General features: G+C 37.1%; 1 long non-coding RNA gene across 10 annotated transcripts in view; it reads left to right on the top strand.

Annotated features, from left to right (window-relative positions):
- The window catches only part of LINC02331 (long intergenic non-protein coding RNA 2331), a 165,830-nt gene that overhangs the window by 100,840 nt on the left and 40,662 nt on the right, over positions 1-24,328 (top strand). The gene's annotated exons all lie outside the window — the stretch shown is intronic.

Here is a 24,328-nt window from a genome sequence, read left to right as displayed (position 1 = left end):
TCCTTGCCCACTGTGCTGCTTTTGAAAGGCTACTAATTGGTGGGGATAAAGGAGATTCCAGTTAGAAATTTCTTAATCTGTCCTATGACTAGATCACCATAGTACTCATCATCCAAATCAGGATAATTATGAGAACAGAAGAGTGCTCAATTATTGACAATTGGTGCAAACTAAGACTGTCTTAGTCAACCAGATCATGTGGTCACCCTACCTATGACCTACCATTATTTAAGCAATGACCCCTTCAAATTAGGGAAGATTAGTAGGGCTGTGTGAAGTTACTCTTTATCGTTAATATACAATCTGATTATAATTTTTATAAAAATAATAATAGTGGCACTAACAGATAACCATGTATTGAAAAATTACCATTATGATAATCTATTCCAGGGTTACGGAAGGAAAATTCATATCTGCATATAGATTTTTAACTCTATTCTTCTTAATCTCCCAAGAATCTTTTACCACTCATCCCCAGTATTTGAGATTTATTGACATTATTGAAAGACAGTGAAGACAGGTGTCACTGATTGCCTCTTCCCTGAATTTTGTCCTCCCTCCCATCTCGCTTCTACTCTGTGAAGATGTTCTTTGGTCACTTCACATGTTTCTTTTGTTCTTAAAAAGGTAGTAAACTCCAAAAGGAAAAATCTTGTCTCTTAACTCTTTGGTATTCCTCATAGCTTCTAATTTGTACTACCCACCCCTCCCCAGTACTTCCTGCCCCATGCTAAGTTTTCCTGGAATGGTGTCTAATTCTGTAAGTGGGTAGGTTTTCTTAGAACAAACATTTTGAACCTACCTTCTTCATCTCGGTTGTCATTAAAGTTTAGCTTCTGATCCAATATTGCTGTAATAGTTGGACTGTATTCAAATTTTAATTTCATATTTTATCTCAAGAAGTATATTAAACAATTGGCTTTCTTTGTATATTTTTCCCTTCGTTAACTGGAGTGAAGTTCAAAGTGTTTTAAGACAAACTCTAAATCTAAATAGAATATTTATGATGACATAATTTTATAAAAATAGAAATCAATTGTGAATTGCTGAACTGTAAGCTGAGAGGAGCCATTCAGTCATTAATGAATGACTTAGCAATATATTAACTTAGCAATGTATTAACCCAGCAATGTATTAACCCTTAGCATTATAGTAACTTGTTGAATACTAAGCTCTCCCTTCCTTTCCTTCTATTTTTAACTGTACAATTACTATGTGATGATAATTAAAGTACATTATATTTTTAAGGTTTCTGCCTCAAAAGAAAGTTTAAATATTTAGCTATTTCCTTAGGTGAGGAAAGATGTGGCATATATTATTTTCCTAAACTTAAAATGGAAAGTGGGAAGTAGAATTTTAAAAGACTTATCCTAGTTAAATATAAGCCTTGACCTTTCTAATATATATATATATATGTGTATATCTAGGTAAAAAATATATGATATGTGTATACATATACACATATGTATAAAATATATACACACACATTATATATATACACATATGTATAAAATATATATATACACACATACATTATATATATACACACATATGTATAAAGTATATATACACACATACATTATATGTATATTTTTAACCAAGAACCTATAGAAAAATCTAAGATACCTAGTTCAGCATACCATTTTTTCAGACTTAAATGATTAAGTTACACCTCCATTCTGTGCTAGATAAGATAACCAAAACTGGTCTAATTTTGTGTTATTACATTTCTTTACTAGAAAAGAGGAAAATAGCAAAAAGAAGATAGTCACTGTTCTTAGAGATTATAAATTCCTCAGTGGCAATACATAACTCTTAAATTTCTTGGTATCCTTTTAACCACTTACTTAGTACCTAGCATGATTCCTGCGTAATGGTCCATGCTTACTATGAATTTGTTAACTTGAACTGAATTTTAATTATTCTTTTTTTTTTTTGAGACAGAGCCTTGCTCTGTCACCCAGGCTGGAGTGCAGTGGCACGATCTTGGCTCACTGCAACCTCTGCCTCCAGGGTTCATGCAATTCTCCTGCCTCAGCCTCCCGAATGGCTGGGATTACAGGCACCCCCCACCACGTCCAGCTAAATTTTTTTTTATTTTTAGTAGAGACGGGATTTCGCCATGTTGGCCAGGCTGGTTTCAAACTCCTGACCTCAGGTGATCTGCCCACCTCGGCCTCCCAAAGTGCTGGGCTTACAGCCGTGAGCCACTGCACCCAGCCTGAATTTTAATTATTCTTTTTAGCAGACTTGAAACGTACTGTTCATAAGAACTCTGAAGAAGCTTCTCATCTAAAGAGCTTTCTGATTTCAGGTTCAGCTCATGCTTAGCTTTTTCTTTTTTAAAAAATTATCATATTTAATTTTAGGATGTCCTTTAATTAAAAATTAAAAAATCAAATTACCTTGTCTCTCTCAGTTGTATGTCTTTCTTTTTAGCTAGATAATATGTAGTATCTGGATTTTTTAGCTGTACTATATGTTATCTAGATCTGGCTTTCTGAAAAGATATAAAGATATGTTGGTAATAAAATATTACCTGAAAGATTTTGTTCGGCCAACACTTCTACCACAAATTTCTCACCTTAAACTATTTCTGGGTGGACCTTTGTTTTCTCTCTATGTGAAGTGGGCTTAGTAAATTACCATTGAAGGACTGGTAAAATATCATCTGCAAAGCCTGATAATCCATTGTTCAGTGCATTCCATATTGTGAAGGACTTAGAATTGCATTTCCATGCAAAGATAACAGCAACATCAATTTTGTTCTTTCTAGCATATGGGGCAGAGTAGTTGCCATGTAAAAAGAAAGTGTATGGAGTTTCTAAGGTCATATTTAACATTTCCTAAGAGAGAAGAAAAGATAAAGATAAGAAATTTGAGCAAAGCAGCTGTAGTCTTAAGTCTTGGATTAGATTAGGTTTCCTGGACTGTTGGAGAGTAAGTTTTTCTCTGTATCTGGTACAGACTACACAGTTATTAAAATTTATGTATTGGCCAGGTGCGGTGGCTCACACCTTGTATCCCAGCAAATTGGGAGGCCGAGGCAGGCAGATCATGAGGTCAGGAGATTGAGACCATCCTGGCCAACATAGTGAAACCCCATCTCTACTAAAATACAAAAAATTAGCTGGGCGTGGTGGCATGTGCCTGTAGTCCCAGCTACTCGGGAGGCTGAGGCAGGGGAGTTGATTGAACCCGGGAGGTGAAGGTTGCAGTGAGCTGAGATTGCGCCACTGCACTCCAGCCTGGTGACAGAGCAAGATTCCGTCAAAAAAAAAAAAAAAAAGATTTATGTATCCAAAGTTCCCTCATTGAGAAAATATCTCACAGGGAAGTGGCAAAATATTAGTTTTCAGATGTTGCATTGCATGTTATAAGATCCCTGTATAAATGAGGATTTGGTACTATTATGGCTATGCAAAGGTAAAAATATCATTTCCACATTGCATATTTCCCTGAACTGTATATGTATTTTACTGTGCAAAGTCTCCAAACACAACTTCAACAGTGCCTTGTGAGGGAAGGAGTACCGGTCTTAGAAGTGTGGGATCAGTGGAATTTTAGGCAAATCTTGTTCTCCATCACTCCTTTGTCCTAGATGCCAGAAGGATTAATAATGTCTAGCTCATAGGATTGTTGTAAGAAAAAAAATGAAATGATGTTTAATTTTAAAAAACGGCACACAGTAGTGTTCTACAGATATGGGTGTTTATTGTCATGCTATTATTTTATTCTTCCCTGGGTTCAAGCCTCCACTTTTTACTCCTCTCTATTGTTTTGGATTATATTATATGACTCAGCAACAAAGTCAAGAAATAGTTATTTATTGGACTGATTATAAGGTCTTTGAGATATGAAATTCTCATCTCTGAGGTACAAATGGTGACAATGATATGAGTAAAATGTGTCCATGATTCCATCCTTGCCCCGGATCCGATCATGCTCTTTTGCTTTCTCATGGTATTCTGCAGGACTGTATAAATGACCATGGTGACATTCTCCTGGAAGTCCATTAGATATGGAACGCAAGGAATATAACTTAGGACCTTAGCCTTATGCCCACTTTCTTGGTTTCCCCAAAACTTCAGTAGGCTGGGGTTTTTAATTAAAAGAAACAAGGATCTTTACACATCTGCTTTACAGAGCTGACTCCCTAGGAAGAAGCGTTATGTGAAGGCTGCCCTGACAACTGAAATTAGGGAGAGCTGGTTCTAGACTGCATTTCTACGAAGCGCTGATTAGGTAGGAACCAGGATTCAATTCTTTTTCCTTTGTTTACTAATTGGGTTAGGCCCCTCCCATTTTCAGCCTTTCCCAATGTTCTATGTTTTTACCTGTTTAAAAATAGTAACTATGTTTTAAATAAACACTTCCAGTCCACTATGAAGACTCTATGTCTATGCTCTGAGAGGTGAGCTGAATTTGTTTTAGCATGACTATTAAAAATGTGAGATTACTAATGCATTTCAAATCATAGTCCCTCGTAAATGCTTATGGCACATAGTAGGCTCTCAATCAGTGTTTTAAATGTGTACGTGGATGAGTAAGCTATGACTAGAGCTGATTTCCAGTATTTGGAAGAGTAGTTGCTATTTTATACATTTCCTTCTGCTGCAGCATCTCCACAGCTAGTCGCTAGGTTTTCTTAGCTCATTCTCACCTTTGCAGGTCCTAGTGCATTCTGCTGGCATACTCATGGCCCCAGTGCCTTATCACATACAGTTAGCCCAGCAGAAGGGATTTCAGTCCAGCCTCTAGAAACAATGTCCAAGGGACCACTGTTTCCATGTATTCTGAAGATGGAAATAATTATCATGAAAGACGTAAGAAGGATTATGTCAGGAATTCTCTCCAGATCTGCACACTTAGCAAGTCATCCTGTTTTGCATTACAGAATCACATTATGTTCTGCAGCTCCTCTGTGGCTGTTTGGTGTCAGTCATGGATTTGTGAGAGACTGGGGTCAAAGTCAGCAGTGTTTACAAACACAGGAGGAATGTTAGCAAGAGATGGCCAAATCCAAATATGATCTTTATGATTCTCTACAAGGCTAGTCATTTGACCTATAAACAGAAAACATGGTTTCTGGCTATGCAAGGTGTTCCCTGCACTCAGAACTTTAAATAGTGTAACCAAATCAAATCACTCATCTGCACTTCAAGTGCTGGCAAGCCAGCCCTTTTCTGATGCCAGAGTTTCTGCCTAATACCTGGTATACTCTTCTATAAACTAAAGTTTAAAAGGAACCATAAGAGCTTGAAAAGATCTATGGGTTTATGATGAATTAAGAACCTGGAAATAATGACAAGTTATTTGAATTGGACTAGTGGAGTTTTCATGCAGCTTCAGTCTCAAGAGCCAGTGGTCAGTGAAAAGCAGACAATGGTATAGTATCCAGAGGCAGAGCTTAATAATTTGGTTTCCTTTCTGACGGTACCATGCTCAGGTAAAGTTCATTATTGAGTTTTTCTTCCACTTTTCAGACAAGGCCCCTCTCATGATTCTCATGTGGGAGTTTTGGGGCAATCATCTCTTGCTGATCAGAGTAGGTTCAGAAGGCATGAGAAAGAGTGGTAGTCTTCTTCCTGGTGAGGGATGGAGTTGAGTGTCTCTCTTTTCATCTTATAATCCACCAGAGTAGCTTGGGGATGAATCTGGGACTCTGTAGAAATTTATGGGCATGTGATCAAGTTTACATTCAAAGAACCAGGATGCCCTTTACAACAGTTTTCTTGAGACCACTTTTGCAGTTTCCAACCTGAGTTCTATTTGGGATCATGGAAGGGGAGCCCGAGGAGGGATCACGATTACATTGCACACTTCCTGCCTCTCTTCCAAAAAAGAATAAAGTGCGATAGTTTTGGCATTACAGAACTGAATTTAGAGTCACGTGACTGTAACTCAACCTCTGTAGCACCACTAAAACGTTAAACTAAGATTCCCATTGGGCAGAAGACTGACAGAGATATGACCCTAGACAAAAAGCTTCTGGAGCAATTCACATCCTTAAAGGAGTCCTGAGACCTGTGTCCAAGATGGGTCTAAGTTTTATGTCTTGGAACTTGGGACTGAGTGTCCTACAGCTGGATATATATGGTTGAATCAACTGGTTCACCTCAAGATACTTCCTTAAATGTTCTCTTGGTGCTCTCTCTTAGCCACTTAAACCTATTTCTGACTGTTTCTGACAACTGTCACTAATAGGGGGAGCATAGGGAGAGAAGAGAAGAGCCGGAGAGGAAAAGAGGACACAGCCGCCGTATCCTGGCTAAGAGAGGATTCAGTCTGAAGGCTGTAGCAATTATATTCCACTCTTCTCCATGTGGATTTCTGTATCACTTTGACTTAAGCCAAAAGGAAAAAAAAAATCAAAGAATGGAATAAAATTACTGCATGCAAAACTTTCCAATTTGGGGAAGGAAGAGACCACATGAACATATGCTTCAGAAAATCATTTCTGGACAGGCACAGATGTGATAAGATCCAAGTCAAAGAGATCATCTAGAGTGCACCAAGGACTTAGGGGAAAAAAATTTATTTTGTGGAGTCTTCGAGAAAGAACCTGTAAAGAAATGATTAGTCAGACCTCGGGAGTGGGGGGAAGAGTTACCAGAGTATGATTTAACTCTGTAGAGTTACATTTTTGGCTCCTTCATTTTCTAAAGGGTTGTCCAGCTGTTAATGATCTCTCTCTCAGAGGCATCTATCTCAGCCTCTCTGGGTGCAGACCACTTAGGAGCAGAATCTCCTTGTGCCTTTTCTTTTCAGCACTAGGTAAGATCGAGGATTCTCTCACTGGAGTAAGTGGTTCTTTTTAACTCAGAGACCCTAAAGAGGGTAATATTTAAATATTAAAATCGATGGAAATGCCAACAAAGTTTGCTCTGAAGACTTCTTGGTGCTGGCGACAGAGCTTGGAAACTCCATCCAGTGGGAGAAATGATGAATCTTGCCCCAAAATCATATATATGCCACAGGATTTTTGGAGAGAGGCATAAATGGGAAACAAGGACAAAATGGTGTTAAATCCACTGCTGAGTCATACATTTAGGTTAAATTTCAGTTATTTTTAGTGGTTTGGGGTTTGAAAAATGTTTGGTATTTGTAAATAATGTTTTTGGATTCCAACATTTCTCAAAAGTCATTTTTATTGTGCTATATGTTGGATCCCAAAAGCATCTATATTATATTTCACTAAGTCAGGTACCTGAAATAACTGTGGTGGGTGAAGCCTGCACTGTGAAATCCCCAAGAAGCTATATTTGGGAATTTTTCTCTTCCTAGTTATTACAACTAATTTTCCCATCAAATCCTATAGGACTGCTTTGAACCCCTGTAACGCTCTGAAGGCAGAAGTGTATTTTAACTCATTCACGCTGGTGCTAATCTCCTCAGTGATTTATGAGGTCTTTAAAGCTTTAATTCTCTGTCTGTCAAGAGTCTTCCTTGGTAGTGAGTTGACAGTTTAAATTAGTGTTTAGACATGGCTTTCATAATGTCAGTTTTGTTTTGTCTCAGCAGCGTTTTGGAATTCCTTCCATTGTACCTCAAGTGACTCATGACAATAAATGACTCTCCTTCTCTTTTGTTCTTAATCAAGGAAGAATGGAATGAACCACATAATGTTTGTTAAAGAGCAACCTTAATTAGTTCTCAGCTGTAGCCACAGATGCTTGTCTTGTCTCTTTAGCATATAAATGTAGGACACGGATGCTTTCAGGTGAATAAATACTGGGTTTCCTAAAAAGCCTTCTCTGGTTCTCTTCCAATAATGAAGAACAATTGCAGTAGAAACATTTTAAAGCTTTCTCCTCAAACTGGGAAGCAAGAGACCCCAGCTAGCTTCCAAGAGTTGTATTTGTTTTAGGTTTTGTAATGGCCTTTTGGGATCCAATGAATAAATCTCCAAGTAAAAGAAGGTCTCCTGAAAGGAGTATCCCTGTTCACCCTAAGCACTTCCTACACTTTGGGGAATAGTGCCAGGTTACACCAGAGGCCAGGGATGCCTTTCCTGCCGAGTTACCTCCTTCTGAATTTTGAATATAAGAATAAACCCCAGATCCTTGGGGGTCCATGTTTGTTTACTCTCAACAACATTCGGCTTCCTAAGGAAAATGGTGAAAGAAAGTATAAAATTCCATCTTAAAAAAACCCCTCAAGTATTCTTGGACATCAAACAACTCTTACAACACAGTCCTTTGATGAGTTCAGTGTAAATGAATCAGAAACATATGGATAGTGTTTATGCTCAAATGCACATGCGTTTAAAAACTCTGAGAGAAATTAGTTTAGTGAGCTATGTTTGGGTCATTTCCAGGATCCAAGAATTTGGAAAATCACTTCTCATGAGTAAAGATGTGGAAGAAATGGTTGAGCACCCCTTGAACTGAAAAATGGGCACGTTCAGCAGCCCATGCTGTGCTGTGTGTCATAAACACGGTAGCAGAGGGCACAGATCTTGGGACAGCTCCAAGCCAGGAGGGATTGGGCTACTGATGTGGAAAAAGTTTCTGTATCTCATTACCAGCTGTCAGTACCTGTGCAAGAGAGCTCCACACTTGACAAACATGGCACACCAGCCTCATTAGATTAGTGCAGTCACTGGACACTTTTGTACATTATATTTTGTACTTGGGCCATTGGAACCCATTGGCTATATGACCTACCCTTGGTATAACCAGTGTTTTCCTTTCACTTTGAGGAGAGTGGAAACTGCCAGTCATACCATAGATATGGAAAACCGTCACATGCATTATCTTTGGTTATATATAAAAATAAAAAGGTATGTGAGCTATAAAAAAAAATATCCATTCAGTATAACGTGGCCCTAAGGCCTTAACATTTCTCACTGTTAGCTGGACCAAAAAGTATTGAATTTTTGAATTATCTTCTTTTCCCTAAAATGTGTGTAATTGCTTATTGAAGAAGAAGAAGGAGCAAGGGATAGAGGTTATTGTATTTTGATACATCAGATTAAAAAAAACGTGTACCAATCTCATGGCTGGGCCTGGACCATCAACTATTGTTTCAGTGGTCTTTATAGTGATAAGATGCTGGGTGTGAGGGTTAAGGAAGCTTTCTCTTGATGTCCAATCACAGAATAACAGTAGTAATGTTGTTCTTTGATTATGATCAGTTTACTACAAATGCTAAGTATCTACCACTATGTCAACAACACAGCACAAGATGCTGAAAGTAATTTAAAAAATGTAAGTAACACAGGGCTTCTGCCTTCAAAGAATGTAAACTTGAGTTGAGGTTACAAAATATGTAAAATAAAATAATAGCACTAGAGATGTCATAGTAAAGGTGTTTTATTGCTAAACTAGTGACATAAGCCATGTTTTATGAGCTGTAGGATTTAAGGTGGAGTTAAATGGAATAGCAGAAAAATCATGAGATACTTGAACATTGCTGGAAATGTACAAAATAGAGAACATTCTATTTTCTAGATCTCTTCTAAAAGAGTACTGCATGGGTTGAGATTCCTTGATAAGCTTCTTAGTGGTAGGCAAAGCAAGAGGGTGGAGAAAGAGTTAAAAATCCCAGCTCTGCTATGAATGAATGGCATGACTGTCCAAGCTGATTGTTCTGAGCTGGTGTCACTAAGATGGAGATATTAATATTAATATCTATCTACATTTATTCATTCAACAGTTCTTTGAGTGATTATGATATGCCAGGCACTATAAAGAGAAAGTGAACTACGGATATACACAAAGCACTGTGCTAAACCTGGTAGGTCTGGTGGAGGCAGCGGGGTTGTGTAAGATTGAAATGGGGGTGGGGTAAACTGATGTTAAACTACATAATTTCTACTTTGGTTCATGGAATTATTCACATAACCTAAAAAATGTTTTTAAAACCAAATGTCAAATATCATTTTTTTCCCATGCATATTGTAAACATTGCTTTGCCTTTCTTTTCTCTCTCATCTCTCAGGCCTTTGTTTGGAAAGAGAGAAATAGGTAGTGCGGCTGATTGTAATAGCTTGTTTTTATTCACAAGCTTTGCCCAGTTCTTCTCAAAGCACCCCTGGTATAAATATAGCTTTATAGGATGTCCGCTAACTCCTTCACTTGCTGCTCCGCCCTCAACGCAATGTATGACTTTGAGGATGTATTACATCTTTCTAGGTGTGAATGTCTCCATCTGTCACCTAAGGATAATAATACTGACTAATAAATAAAGCACTTAGAGAGTCTCATGAAAGATACAAAGTCATATTATATGCTCAAAAAGCCTATGGCTCATGGTCCCTTTGCCCTATAGATATTTATGAAATTGTATTCTCTTAATCGCCTCTTACACTTTATTAGTTTGATCCTTGTGAGACATCTTCTACCTTGTGGTACTGAAAAGATTGGGTGCAGCAAAGAGAAGAACAGTGACACCTCTGGGAAGCTTATATTTTATTACTCTAAAGAACACTGAAGCAATAATTGACAATCCAGACCTAGCATATGAGAGTGGTTCAAAAAATTTTTTAAAATCTGATAGATCAAGATACAGTAGCCTTTATCCCTTGCTCCTTCTCCTTCCTCAATGAACAATTAAATGCATTTGGACCAAAAGGTGATAATTTAAAATGAAGGTATAAGCCTGCCTAAAATGATGGTTGTAAAATTTTATTCTTAGTCTCAGAACACTTTCTTTAATCAAATATTTGAGGCCTAGTTTTGGTAAAAGGGTTCAATAGTGTTGCAGGGGATGATTATAGAGCCCTCTGTGAAATATTTTTGCATACATTCCTGATCTGGAATTAAACTAGTGGTCTCTGAACTTCACTGATCTACCTATCTCAGTAAAACATTTTTGCACACGCCCTCACATGTACATGATACAACAGACACAAAAATGGAACTGTGAAAAAGTAAGATAAAGGTGAAGTAGCCCATATTTTTACATAATTTTCTAAAATTAATAGCACAAAGATATTTTCCTTCACTAAAAGTTAGGTTATTGACAGTATTCTAATTTTTTTTTCAGTTTTAAAATGACTTGCTGGTGGTGATGCATCCAAACATTATTAGCTAATAGACTGTGTAATTTTATATTCTTAGCACAGAGTTCAACTTTAACTTCACTAGTGCTAAGCCGGTCTAGAAATGTCTGTCCCCAGAAAGATGTAAGGATCTGGTGTGAGGGAGAAGGAATCGGTGTAATATTTTATACAGATCACACTTAGCATTAAAATGAGCTAATTAAAATGAGCATTACAATGTTTTGGTCAACAGTCTTGAGGGCCTATGAATTTGCAATTTCCAATATGTACTGTCCTTAATTCTACGCAACTTCTAGAAAATTTTTTTAAAATTTCCTTGTTTCCATCTCATAACTGAAGAATGGGGAAGCATCAGTTCTTCTGTTCTCCAACTGTTTGTACATGTTTGTATTATCATGACTACTTCAATTTGAGATTTCATTTTAAGAATATTTTTAATTCTCTTGTTCATTTTGTGAAATACACAATATAATCTACGCATTCACCTACCTGGGCACAGTGATATGTCTTCATATACCAAAGACAAACTCACAAATAAGAGTTATGCCTGTAGCCTTTCTGAGTTTTGAAATTGCTACCCCATGTTCCATGTATGGCATATGATCATCTAACATATAGAGTATGTAGGCACCAGTGTCTATTCATATAAAGTGATTGATGATTATAAGATACAAAGGACAAATATAAATTCTTATATGTTCCTTTTGTGCTCAATGGATTATGCCACTACTATGCTGGTCTTGGCCTTCAAGACTGTTGACCAAAACGTTTTCATGCTCACGGTAACTAAGTGTGATCTGTATAAAATATTACACTGATTCCTCCCCCGCCATGCCAGATCCAGGCATTTCTAGACTGGTAGGGCATAAGTAAATAATCACTCTCTTCATATCAGACCAGATGGTGGTTATAGTAACACTATTTTGTTCGAGGTTTCACTGTGCAGGATGCCTTTTAATGCCTATTGGATATTATAGAGCAGATGCAATGTGAATGATGACTGGCAGATTGTCTGCATGAATAAAACAAAAGAGTACACATCCTCAATGGATGAGATAGAAAATCGAGATCTATCACTCGTGTTGCCATTTCATCAACAGTTTACCAGATAAATAAGAGATTTTTATTTAAAAATGGGTGTCTGTATCGGGGCCAGAGTAATGCCATATATTTTTTTCTTTTCCTTGCAACACACATTTTTCTACCACTTACTCTATGTAAGTTGTAGGTGCTTCACATTAGCTGAAGACGGTTATCTCAGTAAATGCAGCAGCTTCTTAGCATTTGGTTTTGTACCTCCTTTTGCTCTAGCCTGGAACAAAAACAAGGTCCTTAGCAGTCATAGACAGAATTCCCTCTCTCCCTCCCTCCCTCTCTTCCTTCCTTCCTTCTTTCCTTCCTTCCTTCCTTCCTTCCTCCCTTTCTCCTCTCTCTCTCTCTCTCTCTGTCTCTCTTTCTCTCTTTCTTTCATCTGTCTCACTCTGTCACCCAGGCTGGAGTACAGTGGCATCATAGCTCACTGCAATCTCGAACTCCTAGGTTCAAGGGATCCTCCCACCTCGGCCTCTCAAAGTGTTGGGATTACAGTCATGAGCCACCATTCCTGCCCAGAATTTCTGTTTGTTTTTTTTTTAAATCCTCCGATAGATATGAATATGATCTTACCATAATACTCTAACATGAGAAATGTTACATTAAATTTTTTTTCAAAATCAAATTTGTGTTTATAGCTCCTGTCTTGTCAGACTGGGTTAAGCAATCTGTCATTGTTGGGGACCCCAAGAGTCCTGTGGAAGTCTTGAGTCTTGTGTGGTCTGAAATATTTGGGAAGGGCCTTTGGGCATACTGCTTGTGCAAACCTACGTTCCTTAAAACAGGATGGCCCCTCGGGGTCACCAGGCAAGTCTTGGAGCTCTGAGTTCTAGGTTCATCCTTCTTATGTGGACTTAGTGGGGCTCAAACTCCTAATATTCTCAGAACTACAACCACCCCTTCATCCCTTTCCAACATAAAAGAGAAATTAATACTTCGGTAAATTAGTCTGCCACAACAGCAGTGGTGAGGCCATATGGAGGTGCTATGCTACTCTCCTAGTGCCTCATAAGAAGTCTCCATCTCCTTCTTCCACTCAAAGGGGCTCCTGAGGCTTTGGGGTACTGGGGCCATGATGTCTTTGCTGCTATTTCTGCTGAAGCTTTAAAGCCAGCTGTGTGCCAGGTAAGAGTCTCTCGTTTCTTAAGATGTCATAGAGGCTTGCTTCTGCCTTTGTTGGAAGTCGCCTAACTGCCAGTTCTGAGAGAGGACAGTGGAGAACAAATTGGAACGGCAAATGCTACGCTGTTTTCATCCCCATCTCCTCTGATTGCTGAAACATTGCTAGTACAACAAACTTGTGCACTTGACCCTTCTTTCCCTTACAATAAATTCTTTCCCAAGAGCCTCCAGGGCTCCTCATACAATTCAGGCCTTGCTGGGCCTGCCCCCAAGAGTGGCCAGCTCTGCATGGACTTGTTTACGTCCTTATGGTAAACACAGCAGGTGGGGGGTAGGGAGGAACACCTGATTCATACGGCCCTAATAGCTAGAATTAATTATTAATATGTTCTTTATTTGCTAGTATATTCTCACCATTCTCAGATTATTAGTCTTGTCTTGGATATTTTGGTTGTGTAAGACTCTGACAGAGAAATGGTACAATGGCAAAAAAATTAAAATAAAATTTATAACTCTCATTTTAATTACTCCCAGACTTTTTTCGCACAACTGGCTGGCTGGCTGACTGATTCAATGTAAATGTCCAGAAGGGTGGGACCGTTTATAACCATAGAAACAAATACAAGACTTTCACCCTAAGCTATGCTGGATGGATAAACAAACATCAGGACTAGACAGCTGAGACCTTCCTCCAGTATTTGTAAATGGGTTTCTGTAGAGCCCTCAGACAGAGCTCTTGAGTCCTCATCCAGTTAGCAGATTGGTTCTTTTGTTAGGCAGTCATATTATTTGGAATTTTTGAACATTTTATAGACCATATTAAATAAATGAGCTCATGTTAAAACCAATTATTTCTGTAACTCAGTCTTGAGAAGTGAAACATTATTTATTATAGTAACTACAAAACAGATGTTGTAATATATGTCCTAATTCAATTAAAAAAAATCAGCAAAAGCAGTTATTTGATAATTTTCCCAAGAACACTAGCTTGAATTTTACATGTGTAGTTCGAAACAAAAATTCACACAAAGTGTGTCAGAATAAGTTTAGATGAGCAAATATGAAAGACTTGGACCCAAAAGAGAAAATGAGAAAACAAAACATCGGTTTAGGGGAAAACGCCTTTCTCTTTTCTAAGCAGATGTTTCAGAGAGACAAAGAAAGCCTGGATTGAGCATTCCTGGGCAGCACAGGAATCAGCAATCTGTCAGGGTTTGTGGGGAGCACAGGGTGACAGCCAGCCAATTGCATGTGAAATGTGCCTGGCTTAGTTCTATGTCACTGGGACAGATTCTCAAAGATCTGGTACAAATGTAGGGTTGGTGAAAAACCATGCCTGCTTTGACATTAAGAAGTAAAGGAATGCATTAGGTGTGAAGGCCGGTGATTTCTTTTCAACATATGTCACTTCACTACATTCTCTTCTCTTAAATTGTCTTCACTTAGCCATGAGCTTTGGCAAGGCTGATCTTCAGCGGCTGAGGCTTGGAGGACTACCGATTTCCCATTTCAAAAATCATCATAATCTCATTGAGACTTAAGAAACCCCACTTTGTTTCCACTTGAGTGTAACAAAGAAATTGTATGTGTATTCCAAATGGAATATATTAATAGTTTAAAATAATAAGTTTACAGAAAAGTGGAAAAATAGCCAAAATCTTCTAATCTTCTTTCTTGCTATTACAACTGTGATCTCCTTGGTCAATTCTAGGCAGTCCAATCCTGCTCTACAAAATATGTTCCTGAAAGGTGACATAGACTTATATGCAATAAGAAGGAATTTATAAAATATTACAAATTCACAATTATACCTGACCAATTAGAGCTAATCTTTGGCTATGTATCTGTAATATTTCATACCTCTGATCTTTGATCAACTTAAGCTAAATAAATTTCTAATTGGAGCTTGTCTTAGTCTGTTTTTTGTTGCTATAACACAATACCTGAGAGTGGATAAAAGAAAAGAGGTTTATTTAGTTCACAGTTCTGCAAGCTAAGAAATTCAAAATCACAGTCCTGGCTTCTGGTGATGGCTTTTGTACTGCATCATATCATGGTGAAGAAGGTCAAAGGGGAAATAAATGCCTGCAAAAATAGGAAAATCTGAGGGGTAGCCTGGCTTTATAACAACCCAGTCTCTTGGGAACTAATCCATTCCTGTGAGAAATAATCCATTCACTCAAGAGCAAAAACTCACTCTACTGTGAGAACAGAAGTAAGCCATCCATTAGGAATCCTGCCTGCATGACCCAAACACGTCCCACTAGGTCCAGATCTCCCAACTCCTTCCCATCAGGGATCAAATTCCAACATGAGTTTTGGTGAGGACAAACCATATCCAAACCATAGCAGGGATTAATGTTTTCTGGTTTGATTAACTAATAATTATTTTTTCTGTTTCCATTTTATGAAGTTTATCAGAATTATGTTTCCTTTTACCAGTAGCAATATTTTAATAAAATTATAAAGAAAACATTATAAAATATATTTTTATTTGTTTAAAATGTATTTATTTTTAAACAGACAAAATTTTACATGTTATAGTGTACAACATGTTGTTTTGAAATATGTACACATTGTGAAGTGGCTAAAGAAAGCTAATTAACATATGCATTACCTCACATACTTATCATTTTGGAGGCTGAGAATACTTAAAATCTATTCTCTCAGCAATTTTCAAGTATACAATACATTGTTATTAATTATGGTCCTCATGTTGTATAAGAGATCTCCTGAACTTATTTCTCCTCTTTGGCTGAAATTTTCTATTCTTTCACCAACATCCTACCAACACCCCTGCCCTCTCCTCACCAGTCCCTGGTAACCACCATTCTAACTCTGCTTCTTTGAGTTTCACTTTTTTAGATTTGACATATAAATGCAGGACTTGCCTTTCGGTGCCTGGCTTATTTCACTTGACATAATGCCTTTCAGGCTCATTCTAATTGTCACAAATAATGAGATACCCTTCTTTATTTGAGGCTGACTAATATTCCATTGTGCATATATACCACATTTTCTTTATCCATTCATCCACTGACAGGCACTAAGGTTGATTCCATATCTTGGCTATTGTGAATAGTGCTGCAATAACCATAGGGAATGCAGATATCTCTTTGATATACTGATTTCATTTCCTTTGGAAATATATCAATTTGTGAGATTGCTGGATCAATCCACAAATGGGTATTCTATTTTTAATTTTTGATGAACTTCCATGCTATTTTCTATAATGTCTGTACTAATTTACTTTCCCATCAACAGTGTACAAGGGTTTTCTTTTCTCTACATCCTCACCAACACTTTTTAACTTTCATCTTTTTGATAATATCCATTCTAAATGGTGTGGGATGACAGCTCATTGTGGTTTTAATTTGCCTTTCCTTGGTGATTAGTGATTAGCATTTTTTCTTATACCTAGTGGCTATTTGTATGTCTTCTTTTGAGAAATATCTACTCAGATCCTTTGCCCATCTTTAAAAACTGGGTTACTTAGTTTTTTTGTTTGTTTTTTTGTTTTTGCGATTGTTTGACTTCCTTGTATATTTTGGCTTTTAACCCCTTATCAGATGTATGGTTTGCAAATATTTTCTCCTTTTCTGTAAGTTATCTCTTCACTCTGTTGATTGTTTCCTTTGCTGAGCAGGTTTTCATTTGATATATAATCCCATTTGTCTATATTCAGTTTTATTGCCTGCACTTTTGAGGTCATATTTAAAAAAATAATTGCCCAGGCCAATGTTGTAGACCTTTCTCCTATGTTTCCTTCTAGCAGTTGTATCCTTTTAAGTTTAGGTCATTAATCCATTTTGAGTTGGGTTTTGTATATAGGGTGAAATAAGAGTCCAGTTTCATTCTTCTGCATGTGCATATCTAATTTTCCTAACACCATTTGTTGAAGAGATTGCCCTTTCCCCATTGTGTGTTCTTGGCATCTCTGTCAAAACTCAGTTGATCATAAATAAGTTGATTTATTTCTGGGCTCTCTGTTGTATTCTATTGGTCTATGTGTCTTTTTTTATGCCAGTACCATATAGGTTTGATTACATTAGGTTTATAGTATAGTTTGAGAAGTCAGTGTGATGCCTCTGGCTTTGTTCTTTTTGCTCAAGATTGCTTTGGCTATTCGGGGTGTTTTGTGGTTCCCTATGAATTTTAAGAATTTTTTATTTCTGTGAATAATGTCATTGAAATTTTGGTAGGGATTGAATTGAGTCTGTAGATGGCTTTGAATAGCATGGACATTTTAAGAATATTAATCTTTTTAATTCATAGGCTATCTTTCCATTTATTCCCATTATTTGTGTCTTCTTCAATTTCTTTCATCAATGTTTTATAGTTTTCAATGTATAGATTTTTCACCTCCTTGGTTAAATTTATTCTTAAGCATTTTTTGTAGCTTTTGTAAATAGGATTAAAAAAATTTTTTTTCAGATAGTTGTCAGTGTATAGAAATGTTCCTGATTTCTGTATGTTAATTCTGTATCCTGTAACTTTGCTTAATTTGTTTATTAGTGCTATCAGCATTTTGGTGGAGTCGTTAGAATTTTCTCTATATAAGGCCACATCATCAGCAAAATATGGATTTTTAGTCACATAAGCTACTGTGGGGACAAATAAAGTGATGATACCAAATTAAACTGTTGCCTGGCAGGTAGCTATAAAATGATGGGTTGAAATGTTAGCATTAGCAGTGCTCTAAAGTCTAAATCTGGTGTGTAAAAATGAGTTATGGAGTCAACATACAATTTTTAAAGTGCTGATTTTGCTAAAGTATAACATTGCCAAACTTGAGGAATGTCTGTGTGTTTGGGAAACCCATCTCTTGCACTTTTATTTACCTTTAAAAATCAAAGTTCATTCAGAAAAAAATATAATAAGGTTACCTCTAGGCAGCATAACTAGAGAAATTCCATTTCATAACAAAATTCTGCTATATAAACAGTAAAATTAAGGTTCCTAACCTTTAATGATGCTTCTATTTCCTATTGTGGATTAGCAATGTGATGTTCTTATTAATGAAGTCTTTAGTTAGCAGATTTAATTACTATACATGCTACACACCTTACCAATTTCTACCTTCCATGTTTTGAGTTCAACAAATATTGAGCTCTTACTTCTCTAGGCATTGTATAAATAGCTAATGAGACTATAACAAACAATATTTTGGCCCTTCCCTCAAGGAGCTCCCCTAGGTTACCAATTTCAAAGTTTTTTAATACCACAAATATGCTCAGTAGAAAGAACATATTGAATCAAGTCAGTCTTTGATGATTCAGAAGATATTTCCAGCTCTTGTAGTATTCAAGGTCAAATTATGAGTACTAGTTATGGTGTAATCAAAGCCTTGACATTTTAGTTAATAGATTATATTGAGTAGGCTGAAATTAAGAATATATTGCTTCTTGCACACTAATTTTGTAACTGAGAATCTCAGAGCACGATGACATACCTGAAGACAAGGACTTTCATGAGCTACTGAAGAAAGGAAGGATACCCTTCTCCTTTTATAAACAGTGTTTGTTATCATTCAATCAATAGAATTTATTGAATCCTTACTGTACAAAGATACCTGTCCACTTTAAGTGACCCTGTTGATTCCACACAAGTGAGCATATTTATTTGTTTTATATTTGTTTGTATCGGGATACTCTGTTCCTTATGTTAGGGAAGCTACTCTAAGAAAAACAACACAGGCCGGGCACGGTGGCTCACACCTGTAATCCCAGCATTTTGGGATGCTGAGGCAGGCGGATCATGAGATCAGGAGTCCGAGACCAGCCTGACCAACATGGTGAAACCCCGTCTCTACTAAAAATACAAAAATTAGCCGGGCATGGTGGCATGTGCCTGTAATCCCAGCTACTCAGGAGGCTGAGGCAGGAGAATTGCTTGAACCTGGGAGGCGGAGGTTGCAGTGAGCCGAGATCGGTCACTGCACTCCAGCCTGGGCGACAGAGTGAGACTCCGTCTCAAAAAAAAAAAACAAAACAAACAAACAAACAAAAACACAGTAAAAATCTTGGTTTCCTTTTTTTAAAACAATGGATACTTTGTTTCATTTAGATTCAGCTCTTCCTTTGAGAAATGCGTCTTTTACTAGCAAGGGAATAGTGCAGAGAAGTAATGTAGAATCAGTAGCGCTTGGAGGACTGAGATTCTCTCAAGAGACACTGTGGATATGGGAAGTGACTCTACCAACAAAGGAAAACCAACAGTGATTGAAAGGGAAATGAGATTGTTTATCTGGTAGACAGTGAATTCCTTCCCCTTGGCAATATGAGTGTGCTAGGCCGGGGACACTAGCCTGGGAGAGTAACTGCTTCTTGATCTTCTAGCTTCCCAAGGTAAGGACTTGAAAAGGTGGTAGCCTCAGCCACCAAAGGCGGGACCAGAACTGGTGGAAAGATGATGGTTAAACTGAGGAAGAGTTGAAATGTAACTGAAGTTCCAACAATAGATAGATATTTTTGCTGACTTAAACTAACACTTTTCCCCTCAACACATTGAATTTGATCATATTTAAATGTTGTAGGATAAAGAAAAGTTCTTTTAATGTAGCACTTTAGGTTAATTAAACTTTTAATACAACTTTATGGAAAGAATACTTGCCCCATTTCCTGATACTCTCAGGAATCCTGGCGAAAGGACAGAGAGACAAGCCCCCAGCAGCCTTCCATGAGCCGCACTGATCACATTTCACTAAAAAGTATTTAGTACTAATTGTGAATTTCCTACACATCACTAATAAGTATTTACTAATTACTAATTGACCATGCTTTTTTTTTTTGAGACAGAGTTTTGTTTTTGTCACCCAGGCTGGAGTGCAATGGCGTGATCTCGGCTTACTGCAACCTCTGCCTCCCAGGTTCAAGTGATTCTCTGCCTTAGCCTCCCAAGTAGCTGAGATTACAGGCATGCGCCACCACGCCTGGCTAATTTTGGACTATACGTTATTAATATGTATTTGTTAATTACTAATTTACTGCATGTTGCTAATTAGGTTTGCATCTATTGCTAAGATGTCACCTGAAGCCCAATGCTCCTTGGAGATTTAGGTAAACTTGAACTAAACTGCTAACTTCAAGGCCTGTGAAAGTCTAGGATACCAATGCCTTATAACCCAGAAGATATCTATAAATTTCTAATACTTTACTTTTTCATGATCCTCTCTTTGTACTTCCATACCTGGGTCCATAAAGTGCACAATCTTGTGCAGAGATTTAAAACTTGCACGATTTTTGGAGACTTGACTAAAAGAAAATGCTATCTTTAGAAATATTTTTGTAATTATTAAGAGAATAAGTGAGTCCAGAATAATATACATCTAAAGTTTTAGCTGGGCGCAGTGGCTCATGCCTGTAATCCTAGGACTTTGGGATTGCGAGGAGGAAGGATTGTGTGAGCCCAGGAGTTCAAGACCAATCCAGGCAACATGGCACGAACCCATCTCTACGCAAAATTTAAAAATTAGCTGGATGTGGTGGAACATGTCTGTGGTTTCAGCTACTCAGGAGGCTGAGGCAGGAGGACTGCTTCAGCCTGGGATGTTAAGACAGCAGTGAGCTATAATCACACCACTGTACTTCAGCCTGGGTGACAGATTGAGACACCAAGTGTAAAAAATAAAATAAAAAACTTTTACAATGAACCAGGGGCTAAAAAAGGTTTAGTTTGTAAAGTGTCTAGGGGAAGTAATGATAAATGGGAAGAGAATTTTAACACAGCCATAGTGTAGAAGAACAAGAAATTATAAACCTTTATTCAAGGTCTTAGCTGGATATATGCTTGATAGCTTTAGTGGCAGTACATCAGACTGGCCAGGCAGACCCATCCACAGAAATTTAAGGAAATCCAAAAAATATCTCAGATAAATATATATCTAAGAAGAAGGAAAGTCCTATATTTAAACCATATCTTTATTAATTTGTGCCCACAAGAAACTTGAGAAGGGAGACATGAAACAAAGAAGAAACAATCCAAATAGGATATAATTTACAAGTTCATTGAATAGGATCACACAAAATCCAACACTTTTTTTTTTTTTTTTTTTTTTTTTTGAGACAGAGTCTCACTCTGTTGCCCAGGCTGGAGTGCAGTGGCATGATCTCGGCTCACTGCAACCTCTGCCTCCCAGGTTCAAGTGATTCTCCTGCCTCAGCCTCCCGAGTAGCTGGGATTACAGGTGTCCACCACCATGCCCAACTAATTTTTGTATTTTTAGTAGAGACGGAGTTTCACTACATTGGTCAGGCTGGTCTCGAACTCCTGACCTCAGGTGATCTGCCCACCTCGGCCTCACAAAGTGCTGGGATTACAGGTGTGAGCCACTGCACCTGGCCAATCCAACACATTTTATAATTCATTGGAGATAATGGTATAGAAAATGAAGGACCCAAAAAGCAGATACTTTGTCAGAGATTATATCAGAAGGCAGAAAGAACAGTAACTTTTTGGAAAATAATAAAAAATGAATAAATTTCAGGATTCTGAGCAAAGGAAGGGTAAAAGTCAGGAAATCAGTGAAATCATAGGTCATTTCATATATTTGACATCATATTCCTTGCTTATTATTTAATTGATTTCAGATTTCCTATTAAAGGCCTTTATTGAAGAAACTTGCTTTCCCAGTCATGTGAAGAAATAAGCAACATTGTGGATGTTTTGAGATCTTGCAATGGGAAGAGAGGCTGGGAATTTTTTAATTTTGGAGGTCAACTTATGTATTATGTATATTTAAATCTAAATACAGTGAAGGTAACAAGTCTCAAGTGATAGCCTGATTTATCCATTTATCCTTCAAGCTGAAGAACTTTATTTATTGTAATGCAGATCTGTTGGGAATGAATTCCGGCTTTTGTTTTTAATTTGCCTTCATTTTTGAAAGATATTTTCTCTGGATATTGAACTGTAAGTTGGAAGCTTTTTCCCCTTAGCTCTTTAAATATGTCATTTCATTGTTCTCTGCATCTCTAGTTTTTGTTGAGAAGTCATTTTTAATTCTTATTGTTGTCCCTCTGAAGGTAATGTGTCTCTTTCCTCCAGCTGCTTTTAAGATTTTTTTTTTTTTTTTTGAGACGGAGTCTTGCTCTGTCGCCCAAGGCTGGTGTACGGTGGCAGAATCTCAGCTCACTGACACCTCCAACTCCTGGGTTCAAGCAGTTCTCCTGCCTCAGCCTCCCGAGTAGCTGAGATTACAGGCATGCAACACCATGCTTGGCTAATTTTTGTATTTTTAGAAGAGATGCGGTTTCACCATGTTGGTTGGCCAGGCTGGTCTCGAACTCCTGATCTCAGGTGATCCACCTGCCTTGGCCTCCCAGAGTGCTGGGATTACAGCTGTGCCTGTCCTTAAGATTTTGTCTATATCTTTTGTTCTCAACAGTTCGACTATCATGTGTCTAGTGTGATTTTTTTTTAATTTTTTTATTTACCTATTTGGGGTTCTCTGAGCTTCTTGAAGCTACAGGTTGATTGTTGGTCATTATCTCTTCAAACAATGCATCTGCCCTGTTCTCTTTCTCCTTTCCTTCTGAAATTCATATTACATATATATATATATATATATATGTGTGTGTGTGTGTATGTGTGTGTGTGTGTGTGTGTATATATATCCAAATCTTCGTGGATGAGCTGTCAAGACACAGCAAGAGGGTCAATAAGAAAACATTTGACTGAAAGTCAGAGAGAAAAAGAATACAAAATAATGGAAAAGAGGCTAAGAGACGTAGAATATAGCAAAACAATCAAACATATATGTATGTTAAAATTATGTATATATAAGAAATAAAAATTATATAAATATATGAAAATGATATATGTATATGTAAAAATTATATACAGAGTTTATTCTCATTATTTGATTCTATAAGAATTTATAGAATTTATTATTTGGTTCCATAAAGTCACCATGAACCCCAAATTAATGTATACTAAATTGTCATCCTTAGGGAAAATACAAGATTAGGTTATTTAACTTACATTATTGATTCATTAACATTGAACTCATGGCCAACAGCATTATAACTCACACCTGAACAAAGCTCTAAAACATCTATTTTCTCTGTGAGGCACATGACAGCCTTCTTGCTCTTAGGAACACTAGGACCATTTTAAATAGCGAAATGAGCAACAAAAAGCACAAAAATATAAAAAACTTGGCACTCAGTAGTGAAAAGGACAGTCTATTTAGTAGTGTTATACATATACATAGTGTTCGCATCATGACAACTGAAACAAGAAAGCAGACATTGCCTTGTTTGACCTCAGCTGGGAACATGCATGTTGGGTGACTCAAATTTTTTGCCCTCTGTGCATCCACATGTCCCAAAACACTTCAAAAGCCTGGGAACTTTGGTTTTGGCATTATTAATAAATTTTAGTGAGTAGAATTCTCAAATAAGGAATCTGAGAATTATAAGGGTCAGCTTATATGTATATAAATGTATTTATAATTTTTATAATATATTAGCATAAGTAGTATACTGTTAAATATTTTAAAGTATACATATGTTTTAAAATAGAAATTAAATTAATTATATATTTTATATCTGTCTATATATATATATATATATATATATATTTTCCAAATTATCCATCTCTTTTAGCTGTTACAGTGGGAGTAGTGTTCTGTGCTTCCTATTCCTTCCTATTAGAAACAGGGGTCCTTAATCAACATTTAAAAATAGTTACTACATTTCCTGATAGCATTATTTTCTACTAAAAACATCTATTACTAGAGCCCTTAGGAACTTGCTGCAAGACTCAGGTTTGGCCATACGCAGATAACAATTTCTGAAACTTTTGAATTATTTTTTCTAATTATTAGTATCACCTTCCTTTCCAGTTTTATTCTGACCCAGTTACATTTTGTCTTTTTGCCGGTCCACTTTAAGTAAGGCTGGTAAAATGCCCATATCTGCTGGTGAGTTGAAACAGTTATTAAAATGGACGATGTCAGCTTGAGTTTTCCTGTTAACTTGAAAGGAAATCTCGTGGTGACAGCACGAGGGTTTCCTATAAAATACTGATTTCTAAACAGATTATTAATCAATACTGGTTGAATGAGCACCTCCCTCTGATGGAAGCAGGGTATATGTCCCCACA

Source organism: Homo sapiens, chromosome 14, assembly GCF_000001405.40.
Source record: "Homo sapiens chromosome 14, GRCh38.p14 Primary Assembly".
Lineage (NCBI taxonomy): Eukaryota > Metazoa > Chordata > Mammalia > Primates > Hominidae > Homo > Homo sapiens.
The sequence above is the reverse complement of the archived record's forward strand: the minus strand, read 5'-3'. Positions and strand labels throughout refer to the sequence as shown.